Source organism: Homo sapiens, chromosome 3 (assembly GCF_000001405.40).
Source record: "Homo sapiens chromosome 3, GRCh38.p14 Primary Assembly".
In the NCBI taxonomy this organism is placed as follows: domain Eukaryota; kingdom Metazoa; phylum Chordata; class Mammalia; order Primates; family Hominidae; genus Homo; species Homo sapiens.
In genome coordinates, this window is record NC_000003.12 from 33,426,802 (window position 1) to 33,445,050 (window position 18,249).

Sequence of the window (18,249 nt, forward strand, 5' to 3'; positions counted from 1 at the left end):
TATTCTGTATCCATTCAGATGATGGCCATCTGGGTGGTTTCCATTTTTTAGCAATTATGAATCATGCTGCTATGAACACTTTTCTATGTTTTTGTGTAGATAAATTCTGCTAAGTATACACCTGGAACTGGAATTACTGGATCACATGGTAACTCTGTTTAACTTTATTTTACTTATTTTATTGGAGACAAAGTCTCACTTTGTCACCCAGGCTGGAGTGCAGTGGTGGTATCTTGGCTCACCACAACCTCTGACTCCTGGGCTCAAGTCATTCTCATGCTTCCGCCTCCCAAGTAGCTGGGATTAGAGGCATGTGCCACCACACCCAGGTAATTGTATTTTTAGTAGAGACAGGGTTTCGCCATGTAGGCCAGACTAGTCTCAAACTCCTGGCCTCAAGTGATCCGCCCGCCTCAGCCTCCCAAAGTGCTGGGATTATAGGCGTGAGCCATCACGCCCCGCCTCTGTTTAACTTTCTGAGCAACTGCCAAGCTGTTTTTCAAAGTGGTTGCAATAATTTTACATTTCCCCTATTAATGTATGGAAGGTGATTATTTGTTTTTGAGATAATTATCTGAGCTGTACGTTTGTATCTTAACTTTTCTATACTCATTCTTCAATAAAAAGTAAAATGATAATAACAGCAACAACAAAACATCAAATGAATAACTACTGTATCAACACCAATAATAGGGACTTGTCTGAACTGCTTATTTTCTCTTTTTTTCCTACAAGCTGTTCACTAAGATACTTGGGTAGCCAGGTCAATTCAATTCAATTCAAAAACAGAATGTGAAAACAAGTGAAATGGGACGGAAACCCTGGGAGAGAACGTTATCCCACCAGTAGTCCCTACTCCCCCCATGCATTTCTATTAAAGCACTGTGCTGATTTTCAAAGATACTAACTATCCACTAATTCTCCCTCTCTTATTTATACCCAGGAATTGTCAAAACACTCCTACGTACACAAGTAATAACCAAGGATCACACGGTTAGCAATGGTCCCAACACTCCCACAGAGTTCTCTCAACACCTTGACCTAGGGATTTTGCCCCACCTAAGCTCCTGCCTTGGGGGCAGATATAAAAACTTTTCAGAAGACTTCAGGCCAGGAGCAGTGACTCACACCTATAATTCCAGCACTTTGGAAGGCTGAGGTGGGTGATCACCTGAGGTCAGGAGTTCGAGACATGGCGGGGGAAACCCCGTCTCTACTAAAAATACAAAAATTAGCTGGGCGTAGTGGGGCACGCCTGTAGTCCCAGCTACTTGGAAGGCTGAGGCAAGAGAATTGCCTGAACCTGGGAGTCGGAGGTTGCAGTGAGCTGAGATCGTGACACTGCACTCCAGCCTCAGTGACAGAGCGAGATTCCATCTCAAAAAAAAAAAAAAAAAAAAAAGAATCAGATCACCTCTTTATAAAAATCAGTCATAACAGTCAAATTGGCTCCAGGGAAGATAAAAATATATACTGCATTTTGTGTATATGTAAGCATTTAAAACCCTCTCAGAGAGAAAGAAAACAAGAATGAGAGTTGTGACTCAGAACCATTAATTATACCGAAAAATAACACAGGGAATAATTTTAACATTTCAATGCTAACTGCTTGGGTTGATCATTAGATACAGATCATCAAAATAAGATGTATAACTGCATGAGAATGGCTTTTTTTAATAAATTGTCACATATGGAAGACAATTTTATATGCTTCAGATCCTAGAAGACAACCACTTTTTTATTCACTTGGTTATAGTCTCCATGATCCACACAGAAAATACTATGCTCATGGTAAGTGCTAAACGACTCCTGAACAAACATATAAACATGTAAAGATTATTTGCTATTGAATTTCCAATTAATTTTTTACTTAATTAGAAAGAAAATGCCTTCCAGTCAACACAGCAACCAGTGATCCTTTTCAAACAGAAGTTAAACCATTTCAATTCTCTGAATCCTTACATCAGCTCACTTTCAACCAAAGTCCTTACGAAATCCTACGTCTCAAAAAAAAAAAAAAAAAAGCCCTACGCAACCTGCTCTTCAACCCCTCTTCTCGTCACCCTCATTCCCCCTGCTCCAACTACCCCGGCCTCCTGATTCTACTCTTCTACTGGATATCCTAATGGCTCATTTCATTCAAATGTCATCTTTTCAGTGACAACATGACACTGGAGTCCTCCCACCCACACTCCCAATTTCCCTACCCTAGCTCTATACACAGCTCTTACCACTTTCCAAAAATATACATGACTTACTAACTTTGTATCTGCTATAAGCACGTAACTCCAAATACGTGTTTCTTCAATGACTGATGCCAGCATCTAGCACAAAGGAGCTCAAATACTTGCTAAATCAATGAACTGATTGCTGCATTAATAATCAACCAATTAGTATTAAGATTGAAAACTAGGTCTCCAGACAAGATTATAATTTCTACTATGTTGAAAGTCCTAAAACCTTGATGGTTTTTGTAATCCCATAAATGGAAACAGACTTTTGAGTACTAAAGACAGAATGTTAAACGGAACTAAAAGTAGGGTGTTTCTTTATTTTTTTTTTTTTAAGACAGGGTCTGGCTCTGTCTCCCAGGCTGGAGTGCAGTGGCATGATCATGGCTCACTACAGCCTCAACCTCCCACCTCAACCTCCCAAGTAGCTAGTATTACAGGCTTGTACCACCATGCCTGGCTAATGTTTGTATTTTTAGTAGAGTGGGGTTTCCCCATGTTGGCCAGGCTGATTTTGAACTCCTGGCCTCAAGTGATCCACCCACCTCGGCCTCCTAAAGTGCTGGGATTACAGGCATGAGCCACTGCACCAGGCCCAAATGATGCATTTTAGAAGGCAAAACTGAAAGATCTACATGTTGGTAAATTTTAATGTAGCTTAGCACCAAAAATCAGGATGCTAAAAAAGACTTGGAAATCACAACAAGCTTGATCAAATGAAGTATAAAAATCTACTAGGACATCTAAAAATCCAGCAATGTAAGCTGCCTTCAGGGAGGACAAATGAATGACTGCAAGACCCTAGTGTGAGGCAGAGACTGCACTGTACACCCTCTCATAGCCTTTGAAAATAATTATGTGAATGTACTGATTTTCAAAAACAGTGAAAATTTGAATTTTTCTTAAGGACAAGATAGATAAAACATATATGGAAGCTAAATGAGAATTCTAAAGAGACATGAAAGAAACAAAATAGAAAAAACAACATAGAGAACTGTTTAGTAATGGCAGGCTAAGTAATTTAAATGAACCTATACCCCATCCACCCTCACTGAGGATAGGGGGGAAAAAAGTTGTCAGAGAACACATATATTCTTGAAAGTATTAAAGAACTAACAAGATAAAGAAACAGGCTGAAATCTGAAAAAGTGCAGTAAGTCCAAGCAAGCCTAGAACTGAAAGTGGCTTTTACCTACCCAAACTGAGGAAAGAACTGCAAAGCTGTACTGTAGTTTTAGTGGCCTTGTGGGTGTAGGATACAGCCATCCACATTAAACTGGAATGAGAACAACTAGATGCTCAGGGTAAGGGTGAAGGGAAAGTACTGGTTAGCTTCTCCAGCCTGGTCCGGGGAACCACTGACAGGTAGGGCTCCCAGGGGTCTGACAAGCAAGTGAAAAGACTTAGGCATCAAATTATTCCAAGTAATTCTGAAATGCCAGTACACCAAAATAACCAGGCATAAAAGGACAAACAAGACTCTAGAAGCAAAAACCAACAGCAAAAACAACAGATGACATATATCCAGTTCCAGATTTTGTCTGCTGGTATTCAGATCTTTTCTGCCTCTACTGCAGAAGGTTAGAAGCCTGAAAACTACATATAGAAGAATTCTTGCTAGACAGTCTTGTCAGGCTCTCCAAAGGCAAACACTGGCGGAAAATTGAAAGAGCGGGAAAGGGAAAAGCCAGATGCAAAAACAGGCAACCACACGGAATGCAGCTGCGGAAAATTTCAGGGGATCAGCAGCCATGCCTCCAGCAACAAGCCCAAGAACAACCAGGTAACATGGCCTCCTCCTCCAACCCTTCCAGCTCCTTTGCAATCAAATACTTCACTAAATCCCTCTCTGCTTGAGACATCTCACTGATTTCTATTTTCCTGACTGGACACAGACCACCAGAGATTTCAGATGCTGGAATTATCAGATCCAAATTATAAAATCGTACTTACTCTATTTAAAGAAATAAAAGAAAAGCCTGAAAGTATCTGGAAGGAACAGGAAACTTTAAAGGACAGCAAAACTGAAAAAGAGCAAAAAGAACTTCTAGAACTGGAAAATAAAACTGTCCAAATTAAGAACTCAGGTTTAATAGCAGCTCAGACAGAAGTGAAGACTGAATTAGGAGACTGGAATGCTGGAATATAGGTAAAAAGAAGTTATTCAGAAAGCAGCACAGAGAGGAAAATGAAGAAGTTAAGAAGGGACCAAGTGAGAAGATTTTGCATTAAATTCAAGTCTCAGCAAAGAACGGAATAGGGGCAAAAACTGAAGACAGGAAGGCTGAGCAAATTCTAGAACTGGTGAAATATACCAATTCATGGATTCAAGAAGCCCAAATGACCAAACCAGAATAAATAAGAAATACACACCTAAATACACCATAGAAAAACTCACAAGCCAGTACAGCATATGAAAGTTCCGCCGGGTGCAGTGGCTCACACCTGTAATCCCAGCACTTTGGGAGACTGAGGCGGGCGGATCATTACATCAGGAGTTCAAGACCAGCCTATCCAATATGGTGAAACCCTGTCTCTACTAAAAAACTACAAAAAAATTATCTGGGCATGGTGGCACACGTCTGTAGTCCCAGCTACTCAGGAGGCTGAAGCAGGAGAATTGCTTGAATCTGGAAGGCAGAGGTTGCAGTAAGCCAAGATTGCGCCACTGCACTCCAGCCTGGGCGACAGAGTGAGACTCCGTCTCAAAGAAAAAAAAAAAAAACGAAAAAAGACAGCTCCATTTTCCCAGTAAATAACTAAGGGAATCAGTTGAAAATAGGCATGGCAAGGATGAGTTGTGAGGCTGAGGAGGTGTCATTAAGCTTTCTAGATGAGTAGGGGAGGAAATGGATGAGAATGTTATGGTATAAACTACAGAGCAGCAGGAAAGACATACTTGACAGCCAAGGTCATGAACCAACCACTATTAACAAAATCTGAATACTCTCATATCCATTAAATAAATTACATGTATAGTCAAACATTTACTCATCCAAAGAAAGTTAAAACTGGCTGGGTGCAGTGGCTCACACCTGTAATCTCAACACTTTGGGAGGCCGAGACAGGCGGACTGCTTGAGCCCAGAGACCAGCCTGGGTAACATGGTGAAACCCCGTCTCTACAAAAAATAGCAAAAAAATTAGCCAGGCATGGTGGCGCATACTCATAAACTCAGCTACTAGGGAGGCAGAGGTAGGAGAATTACCTGAGCCTAGGAAGTCGAGGCTGCAGTGAGCCATGATTGCACCACTGCACTTCAGCCTGGGTAACACAGTGTGACCCTCTTCTGGCTAAGTTCTCTGTTTTGGCAAAGTTTTTTAATTTAAAAAAATTTTTTGGTTAAAACACAATGGTTTGTAATTGTTATTCTAAATAAATTTTTTAATGTTTTCAAATTTCTTGATACTTTCACATTATGAAGTTACTACAACATATACAGCATCCTATTTATATTTAGATAAATTGAGACAAAGTAGTAACTAAACAAATACAAGCAACTGTGGTCCTACTCTACTCAAAATCACTGCTAAAAATAAGAGATCCTTTCAAGGCTAAATAGCATTCACAAGTGTGTCTCATCTTTGCATTCCCCACCCACACCAAAAAATTACATGTTTCTAAAACAGTTTTAACCACTACACATCAGAAGTGTCAAAATCATAAAAGAAGGAAAAACTAAAAATTGTTACAGGACACAAAAACTAAATGCAATACAGAATCCTGGATTGGAATCTGAAAGGACAAAAGGGAGACAACTGTGAATTCCAAATAAATTTTGTAATTTAGATAACAGTATTGCACCAAGTCTAATTTCTTGATTTTGACAATAGTACTCTGGTTGTATAAGTAGGAGAAGCTGGGTGAAGGGTACATGTGAACTCTCCATACTACTTTTGTAACTTGAAAAATTTCAAAATGAAGAGTTTTAAGTTAAAAGTTCAACTATGAATACATGAATGAGTAATAACTAGTTTTGTCATAGTTCATATCAAGGCAACAATTTCACAATGTCCAAAAAACTCAGAGTTTTTTGTTTTTTTTTTGAGACGGAGTCTCACTCTGTCGCCCAGGCTGGAATGCAGTGGCGCGATCTCAGCTCACTGCAACCTCCACCTCCCGGGATCAAACGATTCTCCTGCCTCAGCCTCCTGAGTAGCTGGGATTACAGGTACATGCCACCATGCCTGGCTGATTTTTGTATTCTTAGTAGAGACGGGGTTTCACCAGGCTGGCCAGGCTGGTCACGAACTCCTGACCTCAAGAGATCCACCCACCTCAGTCTCCCAAATTGCTGGGATTACAGGTGTGAGCCACCGCGCACCCAGCCTTTAAAAAAAAAAAAAAAAAAAAAAAAGACTACCATAGGCCGGGCACCGTGGGAGTCCGAGGCGGGCAGATCACGAAGTCAGGAGCTCGAGACCAGCCTGACCAACAAGGTGAAACCCCACCTCTACTAAAAATACAAAAATCAGCTGGGCGTGGTGGCATGCACCTGTAATCCCAGCTACTCAGGAGGCTGAGGCAGGAGAATCACTTGAACCTGGGAGGTGGAGGTTGCGGTGAGCTGAGACAGTGCCACTGCACTCCAGCCTGGGTAACAGAACAAGACTCCACATCTCAAAAAAAAAAGACTCTACCACCAAAGGCTGACAATTTCATATTCATCTATTAGATCTGTCCCAAAACAAGCAAAGTAAATAATACAGAGCCTCCTTTCAATTCAGTCATGAAGCTGGGCACCATGTGGCCCACCTGTGGGTCCAGCTACTTGGGAGTTTGTGGCAGGAGAATCCCTTGAGCCCAGGAATTAGAGCCTGTAGTGTGCAGTGATCAAGTCTGCAAATAGCCACTGCACTCCAGCCTGGGCAACAAAGCAAGACCCTGTCTCTAAAAATAATAATAATAATAGTATCAGTCATAGAACCTACAGCTAAGAAAAAAAAAGAAAAAAGCATCAGATGGTATTTCCAGCCAAAGCAAACGTTTAAATGTGTACTGGCAAACCAACAAATGCCACTATGATGAAACATCAAGTTTAGGAGACCATATCAATAAACCACCAAGTTTCAAACAGTCCTAATTGAAGGATATAAACTGTACTATATCTTACAGGGGCGGGGGAACCCTAATTTTAAAAACTGAACACAATAAAAATCTATAGACAAACAATGGAATTACATAAATTAGCTGAGACAGTTCTTAGACTACATAAAAATAATTTCTTGAAAGTAAGGTTTCAGTAGTCAGCAAATCCTTTTTTTTTTTTTTTTTTTTTTTTTTGAGAAAGAGTCTTGCTCTGTCACCCCAGGCTGGAGTGCAGTGGAGCAATCTCGGCTCACTGTAACCTCCGCCTCCCGGGCACAGGCAATTCTCCTGCCTCAGCCTCCCAGTAGCTGCGATTACACGCATGCGCTACCATGCCCAGCTAATTTTGTAAGATGGGGTTTCACCATGTTGGCCAGCCTGGTCTCAAACTCCCGACCTCAGGTGATCCACCTGCCTCAGCCTCCCAAAGTGCTGGGATTACAAGCGTGAGCCACTGCGCTCGGTGACTCTATCCTTTAGAGCAGGGGTTGACAAGCTATGGCCTAAGAGCTAAATCCAACCAGCCCGTTTTTACACAATTATGGGGTAAGAATGGTTTTACTTTTTTTTTTTTTTTTTTTTTTTGAGATGGAGTCTCTCTCTGTCACCAGGCTGGAGCACAGTGGCGCGATCTCAGCTCACTGCAACCTCCACCTCCCGGGTTCAAGCGATTCTCCTGCCTCAGCTTCCCGAGTAGCTGGGACTACAGGCATGCGCCACCATGCCCAGCTAATTTTCGTATTTTTAGTAGAGACGGGGTTTCACCACGTTGGCCAGGATGGTCTCGATCTCTTGACCTCGTGATCCGCCCACCTTGGCCCTCCAAAGTGTTGGGATTATAGGCGTGAGCCATGGCGCCCGATCTGGTTTTACATTTTTTAAAGGGTTGTAAAAAACAAAATGTGACAGAATCCATACATCCCACAAAGCCTAAAATATTTACTACCTAGCCCTTTACAGAAAGGTTTGCCAACCTTAGCTTTACAGTAATAAATTTTAAAATGTGGACACTATAATCTTAAATCAATAAATGTTTTAAATGAGTTAATTTATTAAATCATTTCCTGTACTGCAGCCAAGATTAAATCCAGGAAAAAGTTGTTAAACCTTGAAATTAGAAGTTTTATAGAAATTGCTTCATGAAAAGATTCTAAGGAAAAAAAACAGAAATTACTGCCAATTCTGGGAGTATTCTGAAGAACCCATTTTTAAATTTCACTAATCCTAAAATTGTTCTACACAGATGTTCCCCGACATATAATAAAGTCCCAATCAACCCATTGTAAGTTGAAAATATAAATCAAAGATAAATTTATCAGCCTGGCCAACATAGCAAGACCTTATCTCTACTAAAAATAAAAATTTAAAAATTAGCCAGGCATGGTGGCACTGCCTGTAGTTCCAGCTACTCTGTGGCTCAGGTGAGAAGACTGCATAAGCCCAGGAAAGTCAAGACTGCAGTGAGCCATGATTGTACCACTGTACTCCAGTGTAGGTGACAGAGCAAGACCTAGTCTCAAACGAACATTTCATGCACCTAACCTACTGAACATCATAGCTTACCTAGCCTACCTTAAACATGCTCAGATCAGTTAGATTAGCCTACAGTCGGGGAAAACCACTTGGCAACACAGTATACTGAATGGGAACTATGGCTCACTGCCACTGCCCAACATCACAAGAGAGCATCATACCATGTATCAGGAGCCTGGGAAAGACCAAAATTCAAAATACAACATACAGTGTCTACTGAAGGTGTTTCTACTGAATGAATATGGCTTATACAACAAAAATTTTAAGTCAAACCATCATAAGTTGGAGATCATCTGTACTTCCAAGATATATATCACCTACTCAGGGACATTCTATTTTAGCATGAGACCAAAAGAAAATCATCAATTATTAATAGCTACATAATAAACCCTACCCTTGCTAATCTTGTACTAACTTAATACTGATCTAAGTTGAAATTCTGTTACCTTACAGGATCTATAACATTAATTTTTTTTAACTTTTTAAAAAGTGACAGATAATAGTGTACATTACCATGTGCAACACGATGTTTTGACATATATACACTGTCCAATGTTTAAATTCAACCAATTAACAAACGTATTACCTCAGTTATCACTGTGGTGAGAACATTAACATCCACCCTTTGCATTTTTCAAGAATACATTGTATCATTAACTACAGTAACCTTGTTGTACAATAGATTTCTTAAATAAACATTTTACCTTTCAATCAACATAGGAAATCTGTCATTAGCTCAAAGCAGTTTTGATTTAGCAAATTATTTGTAAACTATGGATGTACCTCCCATTTCAAAATACATAATGTATATCTTTTGTTTCAAGAGATTTATACCACAGCGAAGTTTAACAAACAGGGCTCAGACAATACCTTTTTTAAAGTAATAATTTAATATCAAAATTTTTAAAAGAGTAAGCTATACAAGCCATTACTTCCTATAACCTTCAAAAATATTTCAATATTGAGCCCCCAAATCCTAAAAATTAACTTGGCTACAGATGATAAATTTCATACAGTGAGATGGAAAGAAAATTACCAGGTGGTCCAAAGACCCTCTTTGAGTTTTAATGAGTATTATTTTTTAAAGTCATTTGGTTATCTACTCCATACTTCACAAAACGAGAATGACCCAGATTTCAAGTTACCATGAGTTTCAGTCTTCACTCTGTGTGGGGGAAAAATCAGCCTTCATCTGTTTAAGCCAATCACTTTAACATCTATGACCCTCAGATAATGCATTTACAGTATAAGAAAAGGAGTGGTCTAGACTCTAAAAGGTTTCTAAGGAAGGTCTCTATCCATCTCTAAAATCCTGTTACTGTAACCAAGATTTTTAAAAACATTTATGACCTGCCTCATTTCAAATAGAATCTGCTGCAGTTCACATCTCACATCCAAATATAACCACCAAAAAAGACTAAACAAAAACAACAACAAAAAAGTATAATACAACAGCACACACAGAACACATGAGAACCAGAGCCAAAAGAAAAAGAGAAGCAAAGGTAATGTTAGTAATTAGCCCCAATATATTCCCAATATTACCAGCCTACATTATTTTACACAAACATATTTTTCCTACTGTTTTAAGAGAAAGGGGTGGGGGGAAACAACAAAAGAGAAGGGGGTCTCATTCTTGCCCAGGCTGGAATGCAGTGGCTATTAACAGGTGCAATCATAGCACACACTACACCCCTGAACCTCTGGGCTCAAGCAATCTCCCACGTAGCTAGGTCTACAAGCATACCAAACATCACACCTGCCTAATTTTAAGTCAGACCACTGACAGAAGCCATTTCTTCCTTTCAAACTATCCTCCCAAAAGATGAGGAAACCATTCCCTAAGAGAAGTCTTTTAAGAAATACCTCTTGTTTTAAGCCATCCAAAAAGCAAATACAGTAAGCATGTTTCATTTTGAAAGAAAAATAGAAAGCTGCCTACAAAATCAATTTGTATCAAGAAGTCATTTTTCCAGTAATTTCTTCAAGTTTACTTCTTGAACTTTGAAAGATAAGCTTTCCTTCCCACTGGATGCCAGAGGAAGTGACTGAATGCTCAAGCTGGCCATTCATAGGCACTCCAACCCTCTCAGGGCTCCAGGGCCAGGCATGGAAAGTACAACTGCAGTCCAGGGAGGCCTGCAGCAGCTAACGCCTTCTTCAGATTTTCTCCTTATCGAGTCAATTTTGGAATTTCCTTAGTTTGAGAATTTCAAACAAAGGGCCTTGAATTTGCAAGAGGCAAGCACTCTCATCTCTTAGTTTTTGAGGACTCAATTAAATACGAAAAAAAAACCTTCTTAAAAATGGTAATTACCTTCAAACTTCTTTGAAAATTTAGATTAAATGACACAACCAAAAAAGAATTCAAGGGAAAATTATCCCTGTAAAGAGTACTGTAGGTTACACAGAATTACAAAGATCTCACACATTACTTTAAAAATACATGGTCAGGGAAAGGTTTAAAATCATCAAGATTGTACTTCCTTTTCATGGAAATAAACCATACACAGAAGTTATTACATTAATAAGTTGGCTGAATCACTAAATCAAAGTACAGGTCAAATAAAACCCTAGAAAAAAGTAAAAGCTCAAAATAGCTATCAATAAGTAAACTTTTCAGCAGCAAACTTTCATTTTACCATAAAAGAGAAGCAACTGAGGAGAGACACATATTGAACTTGCTTCACGTGCCTCCTTTGCCTTGACTATAAGCCTCGTGTTTCCAGTAGAGAGCTAAGGAGCAGAATGGCACTAGAGGAGTGCGTTTTCACTAGAGAAGCACTGCCTCTAATACTCCCCTCTGGGGTGACTCCATGACTTTCAGTAGCTCAATTTCCTCAACAACTGAAACAGCTGTTTTAGAAAATAAGCCAACTCATCTACAGGCCTTAAGTTATACAACTGCAGAGAGAAGAGGTGCCAAGTTCAGGAAGCCCAACAGAGACCAAATCAGAGCCAGACGCTGGGGAACTCCAGGTTTAATATGCCTTCCACTACTCACTTCCACACTCCAAGAAATGTCTCCAACCTTTCTGAGAGTTCTTTATGGCTCAGAATTTCTCCTTAAGATTTAAAGACCCAATTACTTCAAGGAGCAGCCACCAAGATTCCAGGCCAGCTTTAACCCAGAAGTCCTCCTCTAGAGCTGCAGTAAGATGTATGAATGCTACTGGGAAACTGTAGAGCACTTCCAAAACATCAGACATTTTCTAAAGAACAGAAAGCTACACTTAATTCACATTATTGAAAAGCTGCCAAACCACTGATTTTTAGACTTTATTAGTCAAGTCAACGCTATGGTAAACTATATTTCAATAAAGCCACTAAAAAAATACAGAGTTTCCAAATTCCTAACAGTTAAAAAGGATAAAGGGCGGAGACTAAGCTCAGATCTGTTTCAATCTCTCCATATTAAAATGAATGACTGCTGGTACAGACAGCAGAGACTAAACAATTATTTGTGGTGCAATCACTGCATCTTAAAACCCTCAAGAGGAAACAGCCTGAGAGGGTAGTCTCCAAAATGAGAAACTTCACTTTGAGACAATCAAAAGAACAAAACGAAGTCACAGTGCTACTCCCACCGCTGCTCTTTCAATTATAATTTACTAACATCAAGTGATTAAAATCTGCAGCCAGAAAAGATCATAATGTAGGACAACAAAGTAGGAACTGATCCCAAAACGCTAGACAGTATTCTCCCAATATAAGTGCTGCCTTTTCGTACAGTGTATTCTAGCTCCAATGGGACTTGTAAATCACTTATAAGGAAAAGAAGCCCCTTCCCCCACCAACCCAAGCCATCCTAATAGCTGGGCGTGTTTTACAGCAAATATGAAGCACTCAGGAGCGGTCCGAGGCCGACGCTTGCGGGGCCATCCTCCCCCACCCGCCCGTCACCAGGGCGAGCAGAGGCCTTTGGGGTTCCATGGCCCCCGACCGCCACGCGGCAGGACTCCGACCCCGCAGCCCAGGAGGCCCGCGCACCTCTGGGAGCAGCCGCATCTGGCAGAGACTCAGGGCTGCGCAGGCCTTCCCCAAGGAGACAGAGGCTTCTCCCCGCCCAGGGAGCCCAGTACCTCATGCTGTAAGCGCCGGCGCCCAGTTCCTGCCCGATGCCCGAGAGGCTGGCGTCGAAGTCGTGCACCAGCCCGGACTCGATCACCTCGTCCATCTTGAGCACCCAGGCCATCTTCCGGCCTCGCCGTCGCCCCGCACACCGCGGCCTCCGCGTCCAGGGCGAAGGAGCCGGAGCTCCGCTGGCGCGTCCTGGGGGAGGGCGCGGGTGAAGCCTCCGGAGGGGCGGCGAGTGGTCACCAGCGGCGGCCGGGACGAGAGCTGCGGGGGCCCCACTGGCAGGGCACGACGAGCCCAGCGAGCAATTGCAGCGGGAGCGGCCGGGCCGCCGGCAGCGCCACCCTCCCGCGGACACCGGCCCTGCGCCTCATGCCGGCGCCGCCGCCCAGCCCCCGCGCCGCTAGCGCTGCAGCCGCCGCCGACCGCCCCGCCCGGGGCCCCCCGGTCGCATCCTCCTCCGGGACCGCTGGGAGGCTGGACCTCGGGCCGCTCCGAGGACCACACGGGGGCAAGCCCTCCGCCCGCCCGTCACCCGCCCCCAAGCCTTGACTCCTTGCCCCCGGCCCGCCCAGGCTCTAGCGCCACACCGCCCCGGCCAACCCCGCCGACGCCGCTCTGCCGGCCGGACGCTGGCTTCAACGCGACTCCGACTTAGGTTCACGCGCCGCTTCCGCCTCCCCCGGCCCCGCCCCGACCCCGCCCCGGCGTTCGCCCCACGCCTCGGCCCTCCCCGTACAGCCCCGCGCTTAGGGCCACTCCCCGCGCCTCGCGGCCCAGGAACTGTCCAGAGAGTGCAATGCGGCCCCGCCCACGCGGCTGTTCCCAGCCGGGGTGGCCTCGCTGCGTCCCCGCACAGCAGCCCAGGAAGAGGCGGTGCCAAAAGGGCTGCCAGTTTCCGCCCCTTCTAGCGAGCGAGATGATTGACAGGCCAACTGAGCAATACCTGCAAGGGCTTGGACGAAGCTCCCGTGAGTCTCTGTGTCCCCCGACTAAACAACCAATCAAAATGTTCTTCACCTTGGGCGGGCTCGAAGACGGAATTTGTTGCCAAAAGAAAGAGTTCATTGGACTGCATGGTAGAAAGCGACCCAAAACGCCACTTCCGGAGGTGATTTGCTCCTCTGTGGTATTTCCCGGTCGTCTCTGCTTTATGCCCTCTCTACCGAGGGAGTGAGCGGTTTGCACCCCATCTGGTGACAGAAAAGCCAGTTGTGCAGAAAACCTTGATTGGCGTGAGAATAAGCCAATCAACGCTCCTGAGAAAGAGCTCTGGAAAGACTTCCCCTATTGGTTGCATTGCCGAGAGCAGCTTGGCTATCCTGAGTTGAACTAGCTGTTGGTCATCCTAAGGGCAGGCGGTCTCCTGAAGTTGGACCGAACCATTAGGACGTGCCACAGTAACAGCTACGCTGCTCAGAAGGCCCGAAGGGTCTTCCTCAGCGACCTAGCGTGGGCACGCGCCACTGCGGCCAAAAGACAGAAATCTTTTTACCGGAAGAGATGAAATAGAAAGCAGGAGCCAGAGGCTGACTTACAGAGCCAGTGTGCGGATCAGAGTTCCTTAGGAGCGGCTGCTGGCGCTTGACGGGCGGAATCCTTGCTGAAGAGAACGTCAAGGCCCGGGCTTCGCCCTGCATCGAACTTACTGCCTAAGAATAAGACCCAAATGCTGAGCGCCCCGCCCCAACTTGCCAGTTTAAGTGCAAAAATACATAGATTAAAATGTCAGCCTAATAAAGCAGTGGCACTGAGCCAGAAAAAAATAGTCTCAACGCCTGTGTGATTTAGATACTAACTTACAGGCTCACGCCTGTAATCCCAGCACTTCGGGAGGCCGAGGCGGGTGAATTAGTTGAGGTCAGGAGACCATCCCGGCCAACATGGTGAAACCCCGTCTCTACCAAAAATAACAAAAATTAGCTGGATGTGGTGGCGCGCCCATGTAATCCCAGCTACTCAGGAGGCTGAGGCGGGAGTAAGGCTTGAACCCGGGAGAAGACAGAGCAACACTCGGTCTCCAAAAAAAAAAACCACAAATTAACTTGGAGAATGTTTTTCTCTTTACACAACATTTTTGCAAACATTTCATTTGATAAAGCCATACTTTAGAGATGAGGTAATTCAGGTGAAAATGTGTAAAGATTACACAGTGCAAGGTCACACAGTAAGCAGGTAAACCGGGGCTATTTGACTAATCCAGATTTCTCTGATTCCAGGCGAAAACATTAGATTGGCCATCAGTTCAGGAAGCTCCATTCCACTATTACAAATAAATCTGCACAAACAATTGGATAGTCAAGGGAAACATTGGTCTCATTGGGGGTCTCAGATATGTCTTCATTCCATGATCTCACCTCACTTGCATAACCTAGTCTATAACCAGATTAGCCAGGCCTACTATTAGTTGTTGGAAAATTTGGAGAAATGGAATTGGGGGAAGATAATTCTCTGGTTTTTGGAGAGAGTGTAAAAGTACAAGCTACCATCAATTTTTCAATCAGGCTGTGCCCTAAGGAAGTACTGGGTCAAATATTTAGAAATTGAGCCTCAGGCTGGGCAGTGTCTCAGGCCTATGATCCCAGCGCTTTGGGAGACCAAGACTTAAAGCTTGGGAGGATGGCTTAAGGCCAGCAATTGGGAGACTAGCCTGGGCAACATGGCAAGATCCCGCTTCTACAAGAAAAAAAAAATTAGTTGAGCATGATGGCACGCTCCTGTAGTCCTAGCTACTTGAGAGAGACTGAGGCAGGAGGATCACTTGAGCCTGGGAGTTTGAGGCTACAGTAAGCTATGATTGTGCCACTGCACCCTAGCCCGGATGACAAGATGAGACCCTGTCCTTAGAAAAACAAACAACAACAACGAAAAACAAAAAACAAAAAAAAAATTAGAGTTCTGGAGGATAGAAATAAAAGTGTTGGCTGGTCATGGTTGCTCACAACTGTAATCCCAACATTTTGGGAGACCAAGAGGGGAGGATCTCTTGAGGCTAGGAATTTGAGACCAGCATGGGCAACAGAGCGAGACCCCTGCCTCTACAAAAGAAAAATTTTTTTTGAGACAGAGTCTTGCTTTGTTGCCCAGGCTGGAGTGCAGTGGTGCGATCTCAGCTCACTGCAAGCTGCGCCTCCGGGGTTCGCACCATTCTTCTGCCTCAGCCTCCCGAGTAGCTGGGACTACAGACGGCCGCCACCACACCAGGCTAATTTTTTGTATTTTTAATAGAGACAGGGTTTCACTGTGTTAGCCAGGATGGTCTCGATCTCCTGACCTCGTGATCTGCCTGCCTCAGCCTCCCAAAGTGCTGGAATTACAGGCATGAGCCACCGCTCCTGGCCAAAAAAATTTTTTTAATTAGCCAGACATGGTGACCTGCACCTGTGGTCCCAGCTACTCCAGAGGCTGAGGTGGGAGGATCACTTGAGACCAGGAGGTCAAGGCTTGCAGTGAGCCATGATAATGCCACTCTAGCCTGGGTGACAGATGAGACCCTGTCTGGAAAAAAAATAGAAGTATCAAGCAGCGCTAAATAGTAATGTCATAAAGAGACCAAAATATAAAAGAAGGATAGTGTTAAAAGAAAACTTTAGACAAATTAAATATAAGAGTTTAATTTTGCAAAAAAAAGATTTGTCAATCAGGTAGCCACCCCGAACCAGAATATGTTCAGAGAGACTCCAACACTGTTGCATGGTGGAAGAAGATTTATGGACAGAAAAAGGACAGTGATGTACGGAAAACAGAAGTGAGATATAAAAACAGCTTGATTGGTTGAGTGTATTATTTGAACAGTTGGCCTCCTGTAATTAGCCAAAACTCAGCGATTGTTATAATAGGTTATAGACCATTTATACATCCAGTTAGGTTACAATTTACTGTGTACAGAGAAACCTTTAGGCTGAACTTATAAGGAGGCAACTTTAGGCTAAACTCAATTTAACAATTTCTCCCCTTTTGTTCAACCTCTCAACTTGACCAAAATAGAGAGGTTGACCAAAATCCTAGACATTGACATTACTTTCTGACCATTGTAAATGTACTTATCTGGTCGCAAATCCCATTGGGAAATAGTACAACAGTGGGTTTTGTAAGGTGCGAATAAGGACTTTAGGTTATTTTCTGGTAAGCGTTAGAGTAGAGGATACTTTTTTTTTATTATGTTGGAATTTTTATTTATTTAAATTTTATGGACATTTTATGGATGATTGTATGTAAACATTTAAAACTTTTGAAAGTCCTTAGTGCACATAGGAGACTACTATTAAGATTACCAAGAGGATAATACCAAGACTTTGGAGTATGCCCCTTAGCCAGGGTCAACATGAACTAAACTAACTAAAATCAAATAGATCAAAGAAAGAGCTAGATAAAAGATCAAGCTGTTTTAACCAAGCAGCTTGTTTATTAATCCCCTGTAACTGAATCTCTATAATACCTGATATGTTCATCTCTGTGCAACAAGAAGTGTGAGCAACTGCAGATACTTCTCTGTATCTGCATACAGAGATACATACTTCTCTGTATGCAGATACAGAGAAGTATCTGCATACAGAGATACATACTTCTCTGTATCTCAGTAAGTAATATACAGCAATTCCGTTATCTAGCACAACTTTAGCAAGAGAACTTAAAGTCTGTTGTGCCATGGCCTTTGCAGTAGAGTCAGCTATAGAGTCTACTATGAGGGATAAATTTCCTTTTTCTTTCTTTTTTTTTTTTTTACTTGTTGAGACGGAGTCTTGCTCTGTCACCCAGGCTGGAGTGCAGTGGAGCGATCTCGGCTCACTGCAAGCTCCACCTACCGGGTTCATGCCTTTCTCCTGCCTCAACCTCCCGAGTAGCTGGGACTACAGGTGCCCGCCAGCACACCCAGCTAATTTTTTTCTGTTTTTAGTAGAGACGGGGTTTCACCATGTTAGCCAGGATGGTCTCGATCTTCTGACCTTGTGATCCGCCCACCTCAGCCTCCCAAAGTGCTGGGATTACAGGCGTGAGCCATCATGCCCGGCCTTTTTTTTTTTTGAGATGGAGTTTTGCTCTTGTTGCCCAAGCTGGAGTGCAATGGTGTAATCTTGGCTCACTGCAACCTCTGCCTTCCAGGTTCAAGTGATTCTCCTGCCTCAGCCTCCTGAGTTTTTGGGATTACAGGCACCCGCCACCATGCCCAGCTAATTTTTTGTATATTTTTTTTCAGTAGAGATGGGGTTTCACCATGTTGGCCAGGCTGGTCTTGAACTCCTGACCTCAGGAGATCCACCCACCTCGGCCTCCCAAAGTGCTGGGATTACAGGTGTGAGCCACCGCGCCCGGCCATGAG

At 43.3% G+C, this 18,249-nt stretch overlaps 1 protein-coding gene across 7 annotated transcripts in view, besides 10 other annotated features; it reads right to left on the bottom strand.

Annotated features, from left to right (window-relative positions):
- Nucleotides 1-14,598, bottom strand: part of UBP1 (upstream binding protein 1) — a 53,064-nt gene extending 38,466 nt beyond the window's left edge. For 4 of the 7 annotated variants that reach the window (XR_007095724.1, XM_047448847.1, XM_047448846.1 and 1 more), the window contains exon 1: nt 13,876-14,598. Coding sequence is in view for 6 of the 7 variants with exons in the window: in XM_047448847.1 (XP_047304803.1) it covers nt 13,876-13,997 (122 nt within the window). In the remaining variant the exon portion in view is untranslated. Of the gene's footprint in view, nt 1-12,934; nt 13,605-13,875 lie in introns of those variants that run through there. The other 3 variants (NM_001128160.2, NM_014517.5, NM_001128161.2) reach the window with 2 other exon arrangements.
- Nucleotides 11,516-11,810: a silencer, noted in NCBI's record as "tiled region #11903; HepG2 Repressive non-DNase unmatched - State 2:TssF". NCBI's record gives its function as "represses a minimal TATA promoter and a strong SV40 promoter by Sharpr-MPRA in HepG2 cells {active_cell/tissue: HepG2}" and the evidence as "EXISTENCE:reporter gene assay evidence [ECO:0000049][PMID:27701403]".
- Nucleotides 12,609-12,843: a silencer, noted in NCBI's record as "fragment chr3:33480902-33481136 (GRCh37/hg19 assembly coordinates)". NCBI's record gives its function as "represses an EF-1alpha promoter that drives an FKBP-Casp9 reporter gene in an ReSE screen in K562 erythroleukemia cells {active_cell/tissue: K562}" and the evidence as "EXISTENCE:reporter gene assay evidence [ECO:0000049][PMID:32094911]".
- Nucleotides 12,763-12,812: a silencer, noted in NCBI's record as "silent region_14187". NCBI's record gives its function as "represses an Ori minimal core promoter by ATAC-STARR-seq in GM12878 lymphoblastoid cells {active_cell/tissue: GM12878}" and the evidence as "EXISTENCE:reporter gene assay evidence [ECO:0000049][PMID:35858748]".
- Nucleotides 13,043-13,362: a silencer, noted in NCBI's record as "silent region_14188". NCBI's record gives its function as "represses an Ori minimal core promoter by ATAC-STARR-seq in GM12878 lymphoblastoid cells {active_cell/tissue: GM12878}" and the evidence as "EXISTENCE:reporter gene assay evidence [ECO:0000049][PMID:35858748]".
- Nucleotides 13,043-13,561: a biological region, named in NCBI's record as "H3K27ac hESC enhancer GRCh37_chr3:33481355-33481854".
- Nucleotides 13,062-13,561: an enhancer, noted in NCBI's record as "H3K27ac hESC enhancer chr3:33481355-33481854 (GRCh37/hg19 assembly coordinates)". NCBI's record gives its function as "activates a minimal SCP1, AML or CMV promoter by ChIP-STARR-seq in primed H9 embryonic stem cells {active_cell/tissue: H9 hESC(primed)}" and the evidence as "EXISTENCE:reporter gene assay evidence [ECO:0000049][PMID:30033119]".
- Nucleotides 13,413-13,522: a silencer, noted in NCBI's record as "silent region_14189". NCBI's record gives its function as "represses an Ori minimal core promoter by ATAC-STARR-seq in GM12878 lymphoblastoid cells {active_cell/tissue: GM12878}" and the evidence as "EXISTENCE:reporter gene assay evidence [ECO:0000049][PMID:35858748]".
- Nucleotides 13,583-13,742: a silencer, noted in NCBI's record as "silent region_14190". NCBI's record gives its function as "represses an Ori minimal core promoter by ATAC-STARR-seq in GM12878 lymphoblastoid cells {active_cell/tissue: GM12878}" and the evidence as "EXISTENCE:reporter gene assay evidence [ECO:0000049][PMID:35858748]".
- Nucleotides 13,893-14,082: an enhancer, noted in NCBI's record as "active region_19648". NCBI's record gives its function as "activates an Ori minimal core promoter by ATAC-STARR-seq in GM12878 lymphoblastoid cells {active_cell/tissue: GM12878}" and the evidence as "EXISTENCE:reporter gene assay evidence [ECO:0000049][PMID:35858748]".
- Nucleotides 14,293-14,582: an enhancer, noted in NCBI's record as "active region_19649". NCBI's record gives its function as "activates an Ori minimal core promoter by ATAC-STARR-seq in GM12878 lymphoblastoid cells {active_cell/tissue: GM12878}" and the evidence as "EXISTENCE:reporter gene assay evidence [ECO:0000049][PMID:35858748]".